The sequence below is a fragment of the Homo sapiens genome, chromosome 6 (assembly GCF_000001405.40).
Source record: "Homo sapiens chromosome 6, GRCh38.p14 Primary Assembly".
NCBI classification, from domain to species: Eukaryota; Metazoa; Chordata; class Mammalia; order Primates; family Hominidae; genus Homo; species Homo sapiens.
Window position 1 is genome coordinate 167,917,407 of NC_000006.12, and position 20,140 is coordinate 167,937,546.

The 20,140-nt window shown below is 40.7% G+C and overlaps 1 protein-coding gene and 1 long non-coding RNA gene across 54 annotated transcripts in view; both read left to right on the forward strand.

Annotated features, from left to right (window-relative positions):
* AFDN (afadin, adherens junction formation factor) overlaps nucleotides 1-20,140 on the forward strand; it is a 145,460-nt gene that overhangs the window by 90,843 nt on the left and 34,477 nt on the right. For all 53 annotated transcript variants that reach the window (XM_047418788.1, XM_047418789.1, XM_017010878.2 and 50 more), the window contains 3 exons: nucleotides 1,329-1,527; nucleotides 5,450-5,553; nucleotides 7,599-7,685. In XM_047418788.1, the coding sequence (XP_047274744.1) occupies nucleotides 1,329-1,527; nucleotides 5,450-5,553; nucleotides 7,599-7,685 (390 nt within the window). The remainder of the gene's footprint in view (nucleotides 1-1,328; nucleotides 1,528-5,449; nucleotides 5,554-7,598; nucleotides 7,686-20,140) is intronic.
* Nucleotides 17,358-19,073, forward strand: LOC107986673 (uncharacterized). The gene is made up of 2 exons (XR_001744471.2): nucleotides 17,358-17,556; nucleotides 17,891-19,073. It is a non-coding gene; the product is annotated as an uncharacterized LOC107986673 (long non-coding RNA).

The following is a 20,140-nucleotide window of genomic DNA, read 5'->3' on the forward strand; positions in this document are numbered from 1 at the left end:
TAAGTAGAAAGGGATTTTATTCAGGAAATTAGGTTCTTGGGAAGTCATCAGAAGGACTAGAGGAGAGGAGGTTAGGAGGCTGCCCAGGACTGTTGGGTTCCAGTGTACGTAGCCACAACTGAGTGTAGAGGGTGGGTACCTCTGTCACAGATCACCCTCTTACAGCCTAGCTGAAATGAGAGGCTTGTCCCTTCTCATCCAGAATGGAGCCAGGAGTTTTGGTATGCCTGCCTCTCAGTAGGAGAAACAGAGGGTGAGAAATAGTATCTACCACTGTTAGCTATTTATAAAGAGAAATACTGTAGACTTAAATATGAGTCATGAGAATTATGTATGTGGATGGATGGATTGACCAGCATTGAGTTTATGCTAACAAGACATGCACAAAACAGCCAGAAACTGGAAATCACCAAATCAAAAGCACAGCATATACATAAATCGTGTCATAGTCATTTAAAGAAATATGTGAGAAAGAATGAATTACAGTTACAACAACTGGGATGAACATTATGACATAATGTGAAAAAAGGCAGCCCTGTGCAAAGTGCATAGAATATGCTTCTATCTGTGTACACTTTAGGAACAGTCAAAATCACACTCTGGTGATAGAAGCCTGAAAACCATGTCATTCTTTTTGAAGGAGAAGGAGGGGACAGTGATAGGGAATGGGGTGGCTACTCAGGTGGCGATGTTCTCTTTTCTTGAACAGAAGTGAACCTGGTGGTTGAGCTGGTGTGTTCATCTTTTTGATCTGTACAGTTAGGATTTATGAACTTTCCTATATGTGGGTAATACATCAATAAAACGTGTCTAAATAAAAATCACCCATAAACCAATAATTTAGAAATAACCTCTATATATTGATATATTTCCAAACTGGCAAAAATACTGGGTAGATATTTGATTCCGGTCTTTTATATTTTACATTGTGTGGGCTTTTCCCTATATCATTAAACATTCTATACAAATATAGTTATTAACAGCTGAAAATTAAAGAATTGTGTGAGGAAAAAAATGATTAGAAAAGAAACTTCTTGTGATTGAACAATTTCTTTTTATTTAAAGCTACACGTTACTTAAAATTAGTAATTAAAATCTTGGTTCATCTATAAAATGTGTGCGGCCCAGAGTTGCTGGCTTTAGAAAACTGATGATGGGGGTACTCCTGGGACCTGTGCTCCCTCCGTAACCCTGCGTCTGTCTGTGTGTGTGTGTGTGTCTGTGAGATAAGCTGTGCTGCAGTGAGCAGACAGCCTTTGAATAGTTGTTGGTCACATGCACCAGGCAGTGAGCATCTCTTTTTAATTTTGCGTTTGTTTTCCAAACAGGATCTTATAGAAAATGTAGTGACTGTGGCTGAAAACACTGCCGATGAGCTGGCCCGCAGTGATGGAAGGGAAGTGCAGTTGGAGGAGGATCCTGATCTGCAGCTGCCGTTTCTTTTGCCAGAAGATGGTTATTCTTGTGATGTTGTCAGAAACATTCCAAATGGTTTACAAGAATTTTTAGACCCTCTGTGCCAGAGAGGTAAATTAGTCTAAATGCCTGAGTCTGAGCTACGCCCCAGGTTGAAGCGAGCATTTTATTCATTGTCCATCTCATAGGGTAGTCCACTTGTGTGGGAGTGCACCCTCGTGCTGTCTGGAGAAGTCCGTGTTCCACTGACTTGGAGAAATATTTCATGGTGATGTAAGGTCAGAAGTGTCGAGACACAGAGCCCTTGGGCATGTTTTGTGACCCTGTAGTGAGCATCTGCTCTGCGCACTTGATGTCATGGTTACATTTTCTGCCTGGGCTGATAACAAGGAACCGTTTATTGTTCTCCCTTCTTGGTATTTTATGAGCGTAGTAGGTTGATTCATTCCTTTAGCACTAAATTGTAAACTTTGTTGATACCAGCATAGCAGTTAAGAGCAACACAAGCTTTGGAAGCAGACTGCCTGCATTCTAAACCCACCTCTGTCACCTACAGGCTGTGCTGCCATTGGCAGGTGACTTTGGCACCTCAGTTTCTTTTCAGTGAAATGGGCATGTTGATAGTACCCAGCTAAGAGATTCTTGGGAGGACTGAATGGTTTCCTGTGGAGCATGCAGAACTCTAGCACAGAGCGAGTGGGTGTGAGTGCTGCTGCTGCTGTGGCCAGCACTGCCAAGCTGGCTTGCGCCTGTGTGCTGGCAAGACCCAAACTCCAGCATGTTGTGTGCTTTTCTGTGTGAAGGGCTTATAGCCCTGAAAGGTTCGAATACAACTGATTTCCTGGATTTTATTATGTCACTTTTACTACATTTTCTTGTGATCTGTACTGATCAAAAACACCACAGTTATTTCTGATGTATGAGGTTTTGTATTAGACCAAATTTTAATCCCAGTCTGCCACTTTTTCATAAAGTAGAAAACAGCTCAGATGAGTAGAAAGTTAGACTCAAAGTGTAGGGGTTTGTTTAAACACATAAAAGTAATAACGATAGAGGTTTTATGCCCGTAGGTATATAAATCTGGTGAGTGTGATTTTTAATTTCAGTGAATGTTTCACTCCCCACAATAAATACGTTTTTATACCTTTCAAGATATCTTCAAAGTTTCTGATAGTTAAAAAAATCATTTTACAAAGGCTGCTTCTTTAATGAAATGTGTTTGCAAAACAGTTACCTCTGAGCCTTTCCAAAAGGTGCTCAAGGCTCAGTGCCATCCTCAGAGACGCAGAGAGAGGCCAAGGTGAGATGAGGCTGGGGTGAGGTCTTTTAGGAAAGTGTGTGTGAAGGAAGAGGGGTAGGAGCAGGAGTAGGCAGGGAGAGCCTTCAGTCTTGGTAGAGGTGCACCTGTGACGAGGTTGGGGAAGGAGGAGGGCTGGGTTTCAGTGCAGGTCTGAGAAATGGAGTGGGCCTGAACTAGCCCCAGAGCATTAGTTCCGTGCTCTGCCATTCCCTGGAAAAAGCCTCATGCCACACACTGGTGGACCCAGAGGCAGCAGCACAGCTTCCAAGCGGCAGGCACTCGGCCACCACGGGACTGCTGAGAAGTATCCTTCCCAGTGTGCTGCATCTCAGCAAGTCAGAAAGCACAGCCAGCTTTCCTTCCCACAGGCTTCTTCCCCACACACGGGTTACTTAGAGCGTTAGTCCTCGGACAGTCTCCTCACTCCACTTTTTCATTGTATTCTATTGTTCATATTGCCATGGTATCTTAAAACCATGGTTTGCGGATGGCGCTCTCCTGCCAGGAACTCTTCCTCTGTCATGTGTGGGATTAATTTAAACTGTTGAGCATGACATCATCTTCCAGCCTTACTTCTTCACCTTGAAATACGCACACTATAGATGTCATTCATATTGAACTGTATATTATTAATATCTGTGCTGTTACCGTTGTCGGTACTCTACTCCTGCTCCTGCTGTTGAACTTACACACTTACTTATTTTCTTAATTCTAATCAGGCGTCCTTTTATGTGGAAAACCTCAGTGTCTTCCTACTTAACATGTCTTCCCCACACTTAACATGTCTTCCCCAGGAGTGATTCTTAGTTACTTGCTTCTATTTTTGCACTGGTCACATTGTGTTTCAAACGCGTGCCGCTGTCTGTCCTCCACGCTTAGTGAGGGTGGTCCCTGAGATCCTGGGCTTGACCAGCTGCACTTTCTCTGATCCTCAGCACCTCACATGGGCCTGCTGTATGTTCAGTGCTCAGTAACTGTTGTTTTTATAATTAATACCTTGCAAATAAGCATGTAAGGTGACTACTAGCATTTTGCAAATGCGTATAGTTTATAGGTTAGAAGCAACTGCCAGTTTTGTCACATGTGCCATAGGGCGGATCCTCACCAAGTTGGAAATAGTGAGCTCTTGACTTGATGATGGAGTATTCTTTGTGACTTCCCCATAAGCTCTCTTAAATGATTAATGTTAGGACATACGTGATATTTCCGTGGCCGAGGCATCACCACATTACTTCATGTGTGTTAGATGATCATTGTACACGTAGCTTAGTACACAGATGCCTTTAGAAGACTTACAAAGAATCGAGTGTTTTCTTTCATGACATCAGTGTTTTTAATGCTTCACACTCAATTCTTTACAAGCTGATTAAAGAATTACTTTGTGCCGTCAATATATATTCCTTTGTTTCCTTCATACAATACAGTTCTGTGAGAAAAGACTGTACGACCAGCCTGGACTCATTCCTTGTCTGAGATGCATTCCGTAAGCTAATAAAGCCAAACCTCTATTTGTAATATGGTCCAGAGCTTGTTATGGAAATGCGGCCCTTGAAAAAAATAAAATAATTTATAATTGTTCAGATTTCAAAATCATGATAAATTAGTGATTCCCTGAAACATGAGAAAGAGAAGCAAGTTGTAGGTTATATTTTCATGAATCTGAATTGAAATAGTGATTTAAAAAATAAAAAAAAAAACTAAGTAAAATTACTTTGTATACTTATTTTAACTGAATATGTTTTTGACGTCTCCTTTTTTGCCTACCATAAATAACCTAATTGTCCACAAATAACGGTCAGAATTTTCTCCTTGTTGAACCACTGGAATGGGTGAGACTGTCAGCTACTGCCAGGGAAAACTCCTCACCAGTCCAAGCCATTAGACCACTTGAGACTGTGGTGAAAAGCTGCGCAGAGTCTGTCACACAGGACGCTCTTGATGAATGTTAGGTGCTGATAGTGGGAAGAAGATGGCAGTAGAGAAAATGTACCGAGGATTGTTCAGGGCCCGTGTGATAGATAGGAGTTGGTCAAAAACATTGCTGAGAAACAAAATAGGATTTGACTAAATGAGGAATGACCTAGTTTGAATTGAAAGGCTTACTTTTACAAAGCATGTCATTTGTCCCTGATGAAAATATCAGAGATATTCTTGAAAACATTATAAAATGATTCTGAACTTTATTTGTAAGAAATTTAAATTAGTATGACCTTAAAAGTAAATTTGGACAGAGTAATGAGGAGGACTCCTAGAATTGTTATACAAGTTACCCAGTAATTTGAATGTAAGTAGTTGAACCGAGAGTCTGACGTGCTGGCAGACACCCCATGCTCGTATTGTTTTCTGGCTCCTTCCCTCTTTTCTTTCCCTTTGCTAAGTAGGTATTCTGAATGTTATTAAGGATCTCTTAGTGTAGTGGAGTAAACGGTTCTGCAAGGAAGTAATGACAAGGCTATTTGGTAATTTCTTATAGGAGTAAGAAAAAAGTTCTTTTGGAACACAGAGGAGTGGGAGGCCAATTTTACTTTACTGCTTGGTGCTGAAATGCTCTTGGACCAAAACAAATGGATAATTTTAAATGTCTGGTAATTCAGTTTGCAGAGGGGATTAAAGGTGTAGAGTAAGAAGAATCAATACCGTGTGTTGGATATTAAGCAATTGGTAATTAATCTTGCTTCCTTTATCTTGACAAGATGTGCTTTTTCACTTACAATTTGCTTGTTTCCTCCTTAGGATTTTGCAGGTTAATTCCTCACACACGTTCACCAGGTACTTGGACAATATATTTTGAAGGTGCAGATTATGAAAGTCACCTTCTGCGTGAGAACACAGAGCTGGCAAGTATTTTGAGGGTACCATGAAGTGAAATGGATCCTTAGGACTTGAAGATGTGATGCAGATTTGTTTCTTTCTTACACTGAAGATTGGTGTGATGGCAGAGTTTTAAAATCGCTGTTAAATACTGATATTCAGAAATTTTCAAGCCATAATTCATATATATGTATTTTTTCCTCCCAAGCCATGTCTATTACAGTTTTGTCTGTAAGCAGTGGTGCTTTTTAAAATAAAGAACACTTATACCCATGGTTGTACCAGTCTTAATACATATTTTAAAACATATTAATATGATAACCTTAAAATATTTTCTTAAAATTCTTTGGCAGAAATATTTCATTCTTTTATAGTCAGTTCTGCCTTGTCTTAAATATATATCAAGCCATTTAGTAATATTTTATATCTTTTTGAAAGAGTGGTAAATCCCAAAATTTCCCAGTTTCATACATGTTAAGAACAATTCTACTTTGCCTCATATAGACAGTTTTAAACACAAACAGGAATTTTTGTATATTCAAAGTAATTAATTTGGCTTCCTGGCATACCTTAGGTTTGAGCATCATATCATGGCCATCTCCAGAAATTGAATTAATTGATGATCGTTCTTTTGTACCAAATAGATGATCACATTGAACTACTGACAAAGTGAACATACCCTAATACTTTTTTTTTTTTTTTTTTTTTTGAGACAGAGTCTCGCTCAGTCGCCCAGGCTGAAATGCAGTGGCGCGATTTGGCTTATTGCAACCTCTGCCTCCTGGGTTCAAGCGATTCTCCTGCCTCAGCCTCCCAGTAGCTGGGATTACAGGTGCCCGCCACCACACTTGGCTAATTTTTTTGAATTTTTAGTAGAGACGGGGATTCACCATGTTGGCCAGCCTGGTCTCGAACTCCTGACCTCAAATGATTCGCCCACCTCAGCCTCCCAAAGTGCTGGGATTACAGGCATGAGCCACCTCGCCCGGCCCCTAATACTTTTTATTGACTTTACTAACTGCTGTCTGTTAAGTCCCAAATAACAGCAGCAACTTCTGTTTACCCAATTTTGTGGAAAAACAAGTACCTTCTAGGTAGATTCACTCATTCCTCGTCTTTTTAGTTTATTCTAAGATTCCTCAGGAGATTTCAGGTTTTGATTTAAAAAAAAAAATAATAATTCTAATGTCAACTAATTTTATTTTCCTTAAAATAGTCTCTTACAAGCTTTAGTTATTATCCTTCTAAATTAAAAAGCCATATGTATAATTACCACCTCTTGGCAAGGTACCTTCCTGCTTATATATTTAATTACTTAAGTTCCTCCTTAGTGTGTATGCACTGTTAATTTTCTTCTTGAATTTTGTTTACTCTTTGGCGTATAGGAGTGACATGTATAGAATACGTAACTTCAATGAGTAATTTTGCTTTCTCATTCTTTGAGTCTGTCAGGAGCTGTCTTGCCTTACGGTCTGTCAGTTTTAGGCTCCTTACCCAGCCAGGCGGGCTTCACTCAATAGCAGCGTGCTCTGGGTGTTGCTGCATGAGTCCTGCAGCGGCCCTGGTGCTGTGATTTAAAATAAAATGACTGCTGGGTTTTCGCAAGAGACAAAGACGTTAGGTCATCTTTGTTATAACCATTTTTTGCAGTCCTCCCCGTGGATAGTGTAAAATAAGTTTACATTTCTTCTTTGAAAACACAAAAAGACTGGTAATTTATTTTGAAAGGTAATAAAGTGAAAATTGAATTTTTTCCTTACGATCAGGCTTTCTACCTGATAGTAATGGGAGTTTAATTTTGTTTCATAAACTAAGTTCTTCAAATCAATTTAAATAGCATTTGTGACTAAATTCATCTTTAAGACTTGAGTCAAGAATATCGATTTAGTTTACCAGATTAATACCTGAAGAGTATCTATATTAATTGAAATTTTTTTTACTGTTTATCTTCTCATCCTTTTTCTTTCCCCATTTGCTCCAGTGAACATGATTGACTAGATCATGAGTTGTCTAACCATACAGAAGCACTTCCATTTCAGTCATAAAATAAACCTTTGTTTTCATCCTTTAGGCTCAGCCTCTGAGGAAAGAACCTGAAATAATCACTGTGACCCTAAAAAAGCAGAATGGAATGGGCCTTAGCATTGTTGCAGCAAAGGTAGGCCAATTAGTCACGTGCGAGTTGTTCTCTCCAGTCTTTCGGCATTGAATCAGTGGTTGTCAGAGTGGATCGTGTGGGAGTACTTTACCACCTGTGTATAACGTGCCTGTTCAGTTCTGTTTCTGCGTAGGAGAGGAATGGTGTTACATGAATGAAGCCAGTGTGCTCACTGGGCCCAATTAGTTGAGGGATGATCTCCTACTCTGAGAATGTAGCTAGAGTGATACTTTGAGATTGAGCAGATGGTGCTCAGAAGGAAACAATTTAAAGGCATAGTCAAAACTTGATTCGCACAGTGAGGAGAGAAAGCATTGCTACAGTAGAAAACTGCATCGTGGGAGTGGGGCACAGGGCTGTCACCTCATCATAGTGGGCCACTGGACTCCTTTCTCAGACTCCAGTGCACATAAAAACCGCTAAGGACTTTGCTACACAAGGAGATTTCTGGTTCTCATTTCCAGGTGCCTTCCAGTAAGTCTGGTGTGGAGCTTAGGAAATGGCATTCTTAACCTAGGCCTTATATAGTTCTGATAGGTGTTGACTGCTGGACCACCCTCCTGGAATTCTTGGGGTTTGAATCCCTTCACCTGCTAGTTTTGGCAGGATATTTAAAGCTACACAGATCTTTTCTTTGAGTTAAAGAAATGAGTATTGTGACTTGGTGTTACTCACTCATGAGCCTCTTCCAATATGGAATCTCAATTATGTTTGCTTAGAATGAATTTTAGCTTTGAATCATATTTAGATATTTTCCATGAAACAAATATGTGTTTAGCTAATATTCAGTAACTAATGTTTCAGTCAACTTTGCTGATATTTTGCTTAAAAATAACACTTTGGCCACTACAATTTGTATTTTTGTTTCTATCTCTAGGGAATATATGAAAAGCTTGAAACTGTTACATAGCAATATGATAGAAGTGCCTTCTGAATTACACAGTTAATGTGCCTTGAGAAATATTTTAATTGCTAATAGTCAAAAATTTTAGTTTATTTTTCTTTATACCAGAATTATATTATCCTGAATATTGATTTGGAAATAAATGGACTGTCATTTGAAACCTTGCCATTCCCATTGCTAGAGACCTGTGATTTTTAAAAGCTTTCACCGAAGCTTTTTCTTCCTCAGCTGCTCTAATTTGTGAAGGGTCCGTTTGAAATGAGGGTATAGGGGCAGGCCATGAGGTCAGCTTTGCAGCGAACAAGTGCAGAAGTATGAGAAAAAATGTTGAGGTCCTGGCTTTGAACCGAAGGCTAGATGGTGAGCTACTAAGTGGTCTAACAAGTACACAGGCTTTGCCTGGCTGGGCATATTTGCATCTACTGTCCCATCATGCTGTGAGACCTTTATTTTTATGTTTTAAAAGAGGCTGGGTCTTGCTGTGTCACCCAGGCTGGAGTGCAGTGGCACAATCACAGCTTTGAACTCCTGGGCCAAGTGATCCTCCGGCCTCAGCCTCCCAAGTAGCTAGGACTACAGGAGCATACCACCATGCCTGGCTAATTTTAAAAACTTTTTTAGAGACAGGGTCTCGCTATGCTGCCCAGGCTGATCTCGATCAAACTCCTGGCCTCAACCAGTCCTCCCACTTCGGCCTCCCAAAGTGCTAACAAAGCTTTTGTGTCCTACTTTGCAAGGACTTGCTGGCAGCTCACTCTGCTCATCTCTGTCCCCTAAATCAGGGTACTTTTAGAACTGGAATTAAATCATGAGTTTGGTATCTTTTTTCCTGTCAGACTGATTCTGTAGCATCTTCTTTGTAGCTATCCCCACTCCCAGACACAGTCCCCAGCATATAGTAGGCAAAAAATACTTGTTGAAAAATAGCAAATAAGAACAATTTTTTTTTACCGAGTGGATATTTGATTTGCTGTTACACAGGTTTAATCCTGGAAGTTAGTTTATTTAAAATAACACATTACCAGCTATATTAGCACAACTCTCACTGAATTAGCTATGAGGAAAATTTGTTATCCATAATCTTAGTCATAACAACACAAATGCCTACGAAACAATATGTGATTAAGATCTAGTACAAGTACCATAAAACTTTACCTTTGTGTATTTTGGAGAAATTAAGAAGATGAATGGGCGTTGTAGCGGTTGTGGAGGGCATCTTGGGAGAGGTGGAGTTTCAGCTAATCCTTGGAACAGACATAATTGGGATAAAGGAATAAGGGAGATATATTGTGGGTGGGAGTGAGAGCACAAGCAGAGATAGAAGAAACGAGTCTTGTGTGGGCCACTTTTGGATAAGGTGAGACCTGTGCGATTACTAAGGAGAGCAGAATAAGGAAGGCAGTGCTTAATTAGTTTTAAAACTCTTGATTGACAGGTTAAGGAGTCTGTGCCTTATCTTGTAGGCACCACAAAGAAATGCAGGATTTAGAACAAAAGAGGAACATGATGAAACTGACATTTTAGGAGGCTTCATCTGGGTCTGGTGTGCAGGATGGATTAGAAGAACCTGGGACGAAAGGTGGGCATCTGTTCAGGAGTTCGTCAGAGGAACCTGAACCCTTTTAGCGTATGGGTTGAAGGTGATGCGTGGGGCATAGTAAGCTGCCTCTCAGAGACCAAGACGTGTGGGGTTCACCTGTGCAGGCAGAGGGTAGTCCAGGGCCCTTCAGTCCACCTCACCATCCAGAATTTCTGCTTACTCCTGGTAAGGGTCCTGCTCACAGGCCATGTTTCCAGGCTGTTGCAATTTAAGGGACCAGAACTCAAACATTTGGAGATGTAAAAGGGGAACTGTCAGCCATAGAGCTATGTTTTCTCTTTGCTTACCGACTGAGTCAATGCCCATTTTCAGGAAAAAATCAGAATCACAAATTACCCTACTGTACTCAAATCTGTGGGCAGAATGTAACCTCCATATTTTCTGTTATGTTCATCCTGTAACCTTATTTTAAATGCTCTTCTTACCTGGGGTTTTAAGAGTGTGGAGGTGGAAGTAGGGGGCTTCCAAGATCAGTGTCCACCTCTTCCAGTTAAAAGAAGTATCTTGCAGTACAAAACTATTTGTTTCCTATAGATTCAAGTCTAATTTACTTCTGCATTCAGTCTTTCAGAGTTTTTGGTATTCTCTTTCGCATGATTTCCGGATGTATAAAGGAACCAGCATTACCTTACAGCAGGGCAGAAGGAGCGGAGCTCTGGGTTCACTTGGCACTTTCTCACCCTCTGCTGGGTGGCCTCTGGCCTCTGGTTGTTTGTCTCTGAATTTTGACCTCTGTCCTTGCCAGGGTGACAGGGGGCAATTAGGACAACAAGCCAGCTTGAAAGTCACACCTGAGCCTCTGTTCAGTTTTACTGTGGCAATGCAGGCAAGAGGCTGAGGGACAAGGTGCCAGCCCCAGTGTCAGGTGACAGTCAGATGATGCCCAGATGAGGAGAATCCTCTCACTTCAAGGAGGAGCTCCAGAAGGAAGATTCTGCCAGTTATGAACCTGGGAGGGAAGAGGGGAAGGAGTGCAAAAGGTGTCAGGAAAAGTGCCTCAGCTCAGACGCTCAGGCACGGGTGCAGAGCCCTAGGAGTGCCCGACTGTGCCTGAGTCCAGGGAGCCCATGCTGCTTGAATGGGCTCCACCCGGCCTCTGCCCATTTGTGCATCCATGCTGCTGCCCACACCTGTCTTTGCTTCTTGTTTTTAGATCCTTGCACTTGGTCACCTCTTCCACACCCAGCCTCTGCTAATCCCTAATCCCCTCTTCTGTGGGGTGTGAAGTCCCCTGAGCTGCTGTATGTCCTCTTTGCATTTGCTCTTACACAAGGAAGCCTCAGAAGAAACACAGCCTTCTCTCTGTATCTTCAATGGAAAGTAATTTTGTCATAAAAATAACTGACTCTGGAATCTTTGCTATTACGAAAATATTTGTCATGTGTGGTGAAAAGGTACAGTAGGTATCAGTGTAGTACAATTACTGGCTTCCGTGAGTCTAATGTGATTTAGGAGTCTGCAGGGGTTAGCTTCAGGGTATATTGTAATTTCAAGACTAGGTTCTTTGTACTTTTACTAGTATTAGAATAAACTTAGTATGAAAGTGGTGTCTAATAGTTAAAATAATATTTCAGAAAGACTATTACTGCCTATCGTGTGAAAAGTAGAGTGTAAATTTTCACTTTTAAACTTTAAATCTCCAGCATTAAAAAAAAAAAAATTAACAAAAGATATTTACAAAGATTTGTAAAGAAGACCAGGAAATAACAATGTTAATAGTACTTCTAACTGGGTTGTAGGCTATATTAATAGAATTGGGGCTTAATGGGGCATAGTAACAGCGTAGAAGGTTAGGTACATACAGTCAAAAAGATGGACCTTTCACCAGCTGAAGCTAGATTGGGGATGTGTCTGATGTGCATGTCTACACTGCACCTGCAAATTTGTGACTCCTGAATTAAACATGCTTCCCTCCCCCTCCTCAGGTCACTCACACAGCAAGTCTTCCCTGGTAAGAGGAAGGTGAAGGTAGTTGTCCCCTTAGAGCAGGACACTCCAAAAGACAGCCTGAAGAGGTTTTGAGCACCCGCTCTATTTGGCATCCTTGTCTCACTCTCCCATGCATGGCTTTGCTGCCTCCGTGAGGAGTCAGACGGGAAGAGGTAGAGAGTGGCTGGAAAGGCCCTGCTCTTCCCTTTGCTGGGGACATAGACCTGTGTGTCCCTTTTCTAAAGTGGGGAGTGATCCTCCCTAACTTGTAGATGATGTTCACTTTGTTCTTGTTTTTGGTCTTTTCAAATACCTTCCACAGTGAATAATGTGTATAAATTGAAAACTGGAAGAAAGAAAAGGGAGTTCAGATTTAGTTCTAAAATGGTTAACTTGGCCAGGCGCCATGGCTCATGCCTATAATCCCAGCAGATGGGTTTAGGCCGAGGCAGGAGGATCACTTGAGCCCAGGAGTTCGAGACCAGTCCAGGCAACAAGGTGAGACCCCATTTCTACAAAAAAATCAAAAAGTATACTGAGTGTGATGATGTGCGCCTGTGGTCCCAGTTACACTGGCGGCTGAGGCAGGAGGATGGTTTGAGCTCAGGAGGCTGAGGCTGTGGTGAACTGTTTTTTCATCATTGCACCCCAGCCCAGGTAACAGGGCAAGACCCTGTCTCATAATAACAATAATAAAATGGTTAATCATCAGCTTATAAAATAGATTTAGGGAGACTAAGCGTGGATTTGACGCTCATGAAAGTTTTTTTTACCTAGTGATAAAAGTTTTCTTCTCCTGGTGAGATGTCTATGATCTTAGTCACTTCATCAGCACATGCCCCTTGACCACTTGAAAGATGAGACAGAATAATATGAGTGATGAATTATATGGTTGATGGTCATTATCCATGGCTGTTTGCAGAATGTCTAAACTGCGCTCCAGAGTGGAAGTCAGTGCTGAACTTGAAGGATGAGTCAGTGTTAGCCAGGTCAAGGATGGCAGCGGGCCCTGTGCACAGGCTCAGCCCAGTTTGGGCTGTCAGGGGAAGCCATGTGGGGTGTGTGGAGAGGCAGATAGGACCGGATCATAGAGTACAGTGTCAGCAAGCTTTTTCTGTAAGGGCCCAGACTGTGGAGATTTTCTGCTTTGCAGGCCATGTGGAATCTGTTGCCCTGAGTAGTTCTGCTATCATGGCAGCCACAGGGCAGTTTGTGGCATAGCGTGGCTGTGTTCCAATAAAACTTCATAAAGAAAGGCCTTGTGATGGTGGGTCTGGACAGAGCTGAGGATTTTATTATAGGTGAAATAAGGACCCTTGAGGTTTAAATGAGGCATGATATGATTAGAGTGCAGTTTTTAAAGTTTATTTTTACAACTCTGGAACATGGATTAGAGACGCTCAGAAGTACAACCAGAGACTAGTAAGTAAGTTGTACTAGTTTTCCAGATGAGAGGTCGTGGAGGCTTACAATAGGGTCGTGGCAGTGGAGATGACGAGATGGTTTGCTCTGTGTGCAGAGGACAAAGGCGTTCTGGAACAGACACCCCGTGAAGGCGGGCATCTTCTCTTGTCCACTATTGAAAGGTTGACAGTTTCTGGTTATGGTAGGTACTGATACATATTTGTTGAATGGCAGTTTTTGGATTGGCTTATGAGTTGCAGTAGTGGATGAAAGAGGGAAGTATGATGAATCTCAAGAAGATGAATCTTGATTCTGTCTTGAGCAGCTGGACATATGGAGGTGTGATTTACAAAGGCAGGGAAACTGAAGGGGGCAGGCATGGTGGCATCAGGAGTTCAGCTTTGAACATGTCACACTGGAGATGTGGGATGCCTGTTCAGGTGAGTGAATAGATTATCTAGTAGATAGTTGGATAGTGAAGCTCAGAAGGTTAGAGCTAGAGATAAAATTTGGATGTCAGCATATAGATGCTCTGAAGGAAATAAAGAAAATGGCCTGTTAATTGGACAGTGTAACATTTTCAGAAATGAAGCATCTGTTAATGCCTTTTCTTGAAATGAGAGAAATGAATCTAGCAGTTCCCTGGCATACTGGATTACTAAATACAGTCCATTTTTTTTCCAGTTTACTTGTAATTTCTGGTACTTGGAAAGTCATCTAATACATACACACTGCCGAGATAACACTGTATAGTTGATAGGTATGTGGGTCTGCTTACATCATTATAATAGAGTGGAGGTATTTTTGAGATTTCAGGGGTGTATTCTGAGTGCAGGGTAGGGCAGTATACAGGGGGATTTCACCGTTAGCCCTGCCCTGCGTCTTACTGAGCGTGTTGGTGTGGCAGCATCACATAGGATTCTGTTTATGCCTGGGCTTTTCAGTCACGCTGCTGCTGTGCATATTCTGCTCCTGCCACTGGCAGCCTTGGAGCACGGAGCCCATGGCACCCCCTCTCAAAGCCTCAGTTTCCTTGCCTTTAATATAGTAGTAATAGTTATAGTTACCTCAGCTCTTCAGAGAGAGAAGCTGTGTCAGGCATGTTGAGCCTGGTATTGGATAATCACCTGCTGTTTGTATTCTTGTTAGTCTCATGAGTGTGTGGTATATGTTTTTTCTGCAGAGGAACCTATAGACTTGTGTCGTTAAATTTTACCCCTAGTCATTTGTGTGCTTTTCTTGTTTTCTATAAGCTGCGTGGTTTTTGTCTTTGGCCCGTTCTTTTTTCCTTTTCTAAATTGGTGTATGGGGTAGCTGCTGTAACCCTGAACCATGTTTTGATGTTAAGTTCCCTGACTCGCCTTCCACACGGTGGTTAAGTTTTATGAAATCCAGATGATTTGGAAGCAGTGTGGGTATGCAGTTTACTTTTTAAAACATTGCTTTTGGGGACGGTCAGCAGGCTACTTCTTGGTCATCTGTGGGACAACATGATGCTTCCTGTTTAATTTGGATTTTAAAATTACAAACAATTCCCTCCTTTTTATTTTTCTAAGTCTTTTTAAAGTTTAAAAGTACAAAGCGAATAGCAGTCAGCGTGGACTGGTTACGTAAGAGCCTGAATATTGCATTGGTTCTAGGTCGTGTTGATAAATGCCATACAGGGTCATAGCATCCAGCGCAGAATGTGGTGATCCCGGTCTTGAAAAACCAGCTGTCTTGGTTGCTGTTGAAAACTGAGAGAAGTAGACGGTTGATTTTCAGTTCATGAAGTTGTTGTGGTCCCGGAAATGAAAATGTGGTTCTCTGTTGTTGGAAGAACACAGTCAGTGGTGAGTTTCTTCAGGGGGCAGTTGCCGGTGTTCTCGTGCTCACTGTGGTCTTGAAGGAATGCTTTTTCTTTCAGTGTAACTTGTTTAAACCTGTCAATAATTAACTTGCTCATGAAGCAACAACCGTTTAATGTAGCTTGTAATTACACACTCTTTTTTTGTTTTTGCTACTTTTGTGCTGCAAATTCTTAAGCTTCATAAAAACATAAGCCTTCTGTATGCTTCTTATTTAAGAAAACAGCCATGATATTTCATCCTGCTGGGTATAATATGGTGAAGGTTGCTTTAAATATGATAACTGCCGCTATGTAACTTGCTGAAGACATGGACAAGAATATCTATGATGTAACCTGTATTTGGCCCCATTAGGTGGTTTTAACTACAGCCTTTCTCTAAGACCTGTTTTTTCTAAAAGTGAACATAAAAATGACACTTTTAAAAGTACTTAGGATATTTTACTATTTTATTTAAAAATAAATGGTTAATTAATGCCTTAAGTATGTTCAAGTTTATGCTTTTAGACAATGTACTGATTTAAAGTTTTAAAATCTTAAAATCTTAGCTTAAAACATAAGATTCCTATGCCCTAAAAATGAGATGGTAAAGACTGTTTATTAACATGCCTTCTCACTGTTTAGAGAGTCAGTTTCTCGCATAAACTGTAATTTAGTCCTTTGAAGACTTTGAGACCTTCTCTTGTGTTCTTTAATGGTCTAATTATGACCATGTGGGAAACACCTAGTCAAACAAATGAAGTCAGGAAATTCCGGGTTCCTTTTTAGTCAGTTCCAAAGACCTATTGTGCTTACATTTCTTCCACGGAGATGCCAGAAACATCTTTCCACTAAGTTGTATGAAGTGACACTGCCCCTCATGGCTTCTTATGAATTTGGAAACAATATATTTGTGTATCAAAAGCAAAATAGTAAATTATATAAAAGAATACTATTTTTACCTGGTTTATAATTTTGGCCTAAGTGCTGATTTCTTGGATTGGCTGAAATACTGAATTCAAGTACAACATTAAAATAACATAATAGGAACATAAAATGTTGATCCTCTAAAGAGCCATCATAGAAAATGATAATTTGTAGAGTTTACCTGGATGTAGAATATTGGCTGTGGGGTAGCCCAGAGGTTCACACTGCCCCAGGCTTGCCCCATCTCTCTCAGTGGAATCTTAAGTGATCCAGACCCATCCCCTGCACAGGCCAGGACTCTGGGGAGCTTTGTCAGGAGTGTCAGGCTCACCTCCAGTGGTCTCTTGTGCCTGAAAATCTGCTGAGTCGCACACCGCTTTGCGAGGCTAAGGAGAGTTGTGCACTCTACCCTGGTGAAATTCACACACCTGCAAATGTCGCGTGCGGTCTTTGGGGGTTTATGGGCTTCCTGCATCCCATCTGTGGGACCACCTTCGTTCCCTTCATTTTATGGAGAGGGAAGAGATAGATGTGGTCTGTTGGGTTTGTATTTTATACAAAGCATAAACGAAACCCAGAGCTGGAACTACAGCCTTGCTCATAGATATCAAGCTCAGTTACCTTGCTCACAGCACCAAACCTGCTGGGGGTAACTTACCATGGACTTCCAAGGTTGCTGAATGTAGAATTCATATACAAAGTGAATTTTAGAACTGATTATTTCACAATTAAGGTAATTCCTACCCAAGAAGAGAGATCTTTAGAATGTTTTTAAAACCCAAGCCTGGATTTACTTATCTGACTAGAAGTAAAGCAGTTGAAAAACCCAGAGGAGAGCAGCGAGCGGGCAGAGTGTCAACAGAAGTATGCCTGATGACTGAAATACTTCTGGGCTCTGAGGTCATTTCAGCCACTTATTGTTCTAAAATCACCAGCCAGAGAACCCAGGCTAGGTTTTCTTACCTGAGAACAATAGGGTTGGATTCATGATGATTTGGCCAGCATATCTTTCTTCCTCCTGCTCTTTTTTTTTTGGATTGTGTTTTAATGATGTCTTTATGCTGTTTATCACGTTGTACTCCCACACGCACTCAGGGTTTGCTACTGGAATGTTTGAAGCCTAGGCTCCGCCTGACCGAGCCTCCCTGTGCGTGTGGGGAGACTACCTACACTTCTATAAGCCCTCTTCTGAAAAGGTGCAGTAAAAGAATTAGAGAAGACATTTGGGGAGCAGTCTTTTCCTTGTTGCCATTTCTCATCGGATGTACAAAGCAACTTATAGGTGCGTGCTTCTTTCTCAGTTCTAGGGAAAGTTGAATGTATGGCAGCTGAGTTATTTCTGTTTTTTATTATAATTTTTGATAACTTTTTGTTCATTTATTGCCATTCTCTCTTGTAGCTCGTTCTACAGGTGAATTTCAGATACAGCTTTGGTTCATCCTTTTTTGTCCTCCTTTCTTCTCTCTCCTCTCCCTCGTTAGTCCCATCCCCACTCTGAAACCCCCTTCTTCCTTTTTAATGGAAAGAAAGGCAGTTTCAAGAGGCATTTTAAGATTAAAATGTTAAGATCAAACAGGCAGTGATCTTTGTGTTTCCTTTTTGCGTGTTTTTTAAAGGATACAAGATCTAAATCTTCTGCCAGTGTGTGCTACACGTTGGGTACCCTCTGATACGCTGAAATTGCATTGAAGGGCACAAAGGCTGGACATAGCAGTGTGGGCGCTGTACTGCAGATGTTCTCAGGGGCCTCCAGACGGGGAAAAGTGCATTTAAAAATTTACCTCTGGTATTTAAGTGTGGTTAATTAAATTCCAAAATTGTACTTAATGAAATTTGTAATTCCTGATGTCTTTGGAATCTGTAACTGCTTTTCAGAAGACCTCTGCCTCAACTTTTCTTTAAAGAAACTGGTTTGTTAAATGAGGAATGAGTAATCCTGAATAATTAGTTTTGCAGAGAATAAATGGACTAAAATGCAATAATATCTTTTCAAATACCATATTTAGGTACCTTTAAGCAAGTAATCCTTAAAACTATTTAGCCTTTCTGGAGTTATCTATAATATTGTGTTCTCAATTTTAATGGCTCTTTTGCTTTTCTTTTTTTTTTCTTTTGGTTGGAAATCAGGATGTGTAATGTTAGCATGTAAATTATAGTATGGTAAAATCTTGTTTTTGCCATATTATCTGCATAATTGTAAATGTGTTGCTAGTACCTATCATTACTCATAACAAACATACTATGAAAATCTACATTATTGGTGCAGCACTATCCGATAGAAATATAATATGAGCTACATGGGGAATTTTCAGTTTTCTGCTAGCTGTGTTTTTTTAAAAAGTGAAGTTAATTTTAATACCATATTTTATATTATCTAATACATCAGAAATGTTATTTCAACATGCAGTCAATATAAAAATCATCAATGAGATAGTTCACATTCTTTTTTCCATACTAAGTCTCTGCATTTCCATATTTCAGTTTGGATGAGCCACACTTTCAGTGCTCTGTCACCACCTGTGGCCTGCCTACTGCCATACTGAACAGCACAGTGTTTAATGCCGTTTCACTAGTATTCTTGGAACTGTTTCTACATTTCTGTGATTGTTTTTGGTTGGTAGCTAACACTTGAATGTTCTACATGCTGACACACAGCAGCAAAGAACATAGAGCTTCTAGGCCTGGCTGTTCTTTCTTAGTTGGAAAAGAAATAGAATTACCATAAAATGAATTTTAATTGTGTGCGCATGTAAATATAAAGACACTAATTATTTTAATAAATTTTGAGTTCAGCCTTAATAGACTACATAGATTGTCCATTATTGTTTAGAAATAAGACCTAAATTAAGTGGTTTAATATTTCTGAAATTAATAAATTGTTTCATACAGTTTTTTTTTTAACCGTAGGCAGTACAATTCTCATTTATTCAAATGAAGGGGGGTAGGTAGTGAGAGCTCCATAATGTTAAGGAATTGTTATGGCTCGACAGACGACAGTTTGCTGAGGCATCTGACCAGCAGCAGAGGCAGGGATGCAGCAGAGTTTCTTTACTCTGCTCTTCCCCCAGTCAGGGTGCACATTCCAGTCCTGCACTGCCATAGCCAGACTGAGAAACCTTGGACAAGTGGACACCTTGTAGTTGGACAGAGACTGTGGTGGTTCGGGTTGAAGGTAATTGCCCATATTGATGTGATACAAATAGACATTTCCTAGAGTTCTTTCATCTCTGGGTAATCATCTCTAATTTTGTTTTGCTAAGATAATTACCAGTAGAACTGTAATTTCTCCATTCAGCAGTTGTAGTTAGAATTTTTATGATCAGTTTATGACTGTGAGCTGCACCTGAAGTATAAGTAGGATCCAAATAACCAGAGGTGATAGGAGGGAAGGGCATGTGAACAGGGCCAGTGGGTCTGCAGGAAAGGAGTGTGTACAGAAGGTGCAGGGTCAGTGGACAGGGAATGTGTCCACGGAAATGTCCATGAAGCAGAGCAGTCCGTGAAGTGGAGGCCCGAATGCCGACCAAAATGTGGATACCTGTTACATTATCTAGATCCGTATTCTTTACTTGCACATTGTTTTGTCTTCTGTGTCTAAGAGTATTTTCAAAATATATTTCGTGATGCATTGTCTTGACTTTTGATCAAATTCCATTTTTATGATCAACCTTGAATAGACCTTTTAGATTTTAATGGGTGTTTTGAATTGAGGTCTCTAATAATCATGAATGCTTTTTAAAATTTTTTTGTAGAGACAGGATCTCGCCATGTTGCCTAGGCTGGTTGTGAACTCTTGGCCTCAAGCAGTCCTCCCGCCACAGCCTCCCAAAGTGTTGGGATGACTCCCACCATGCCTGGCCCTATCA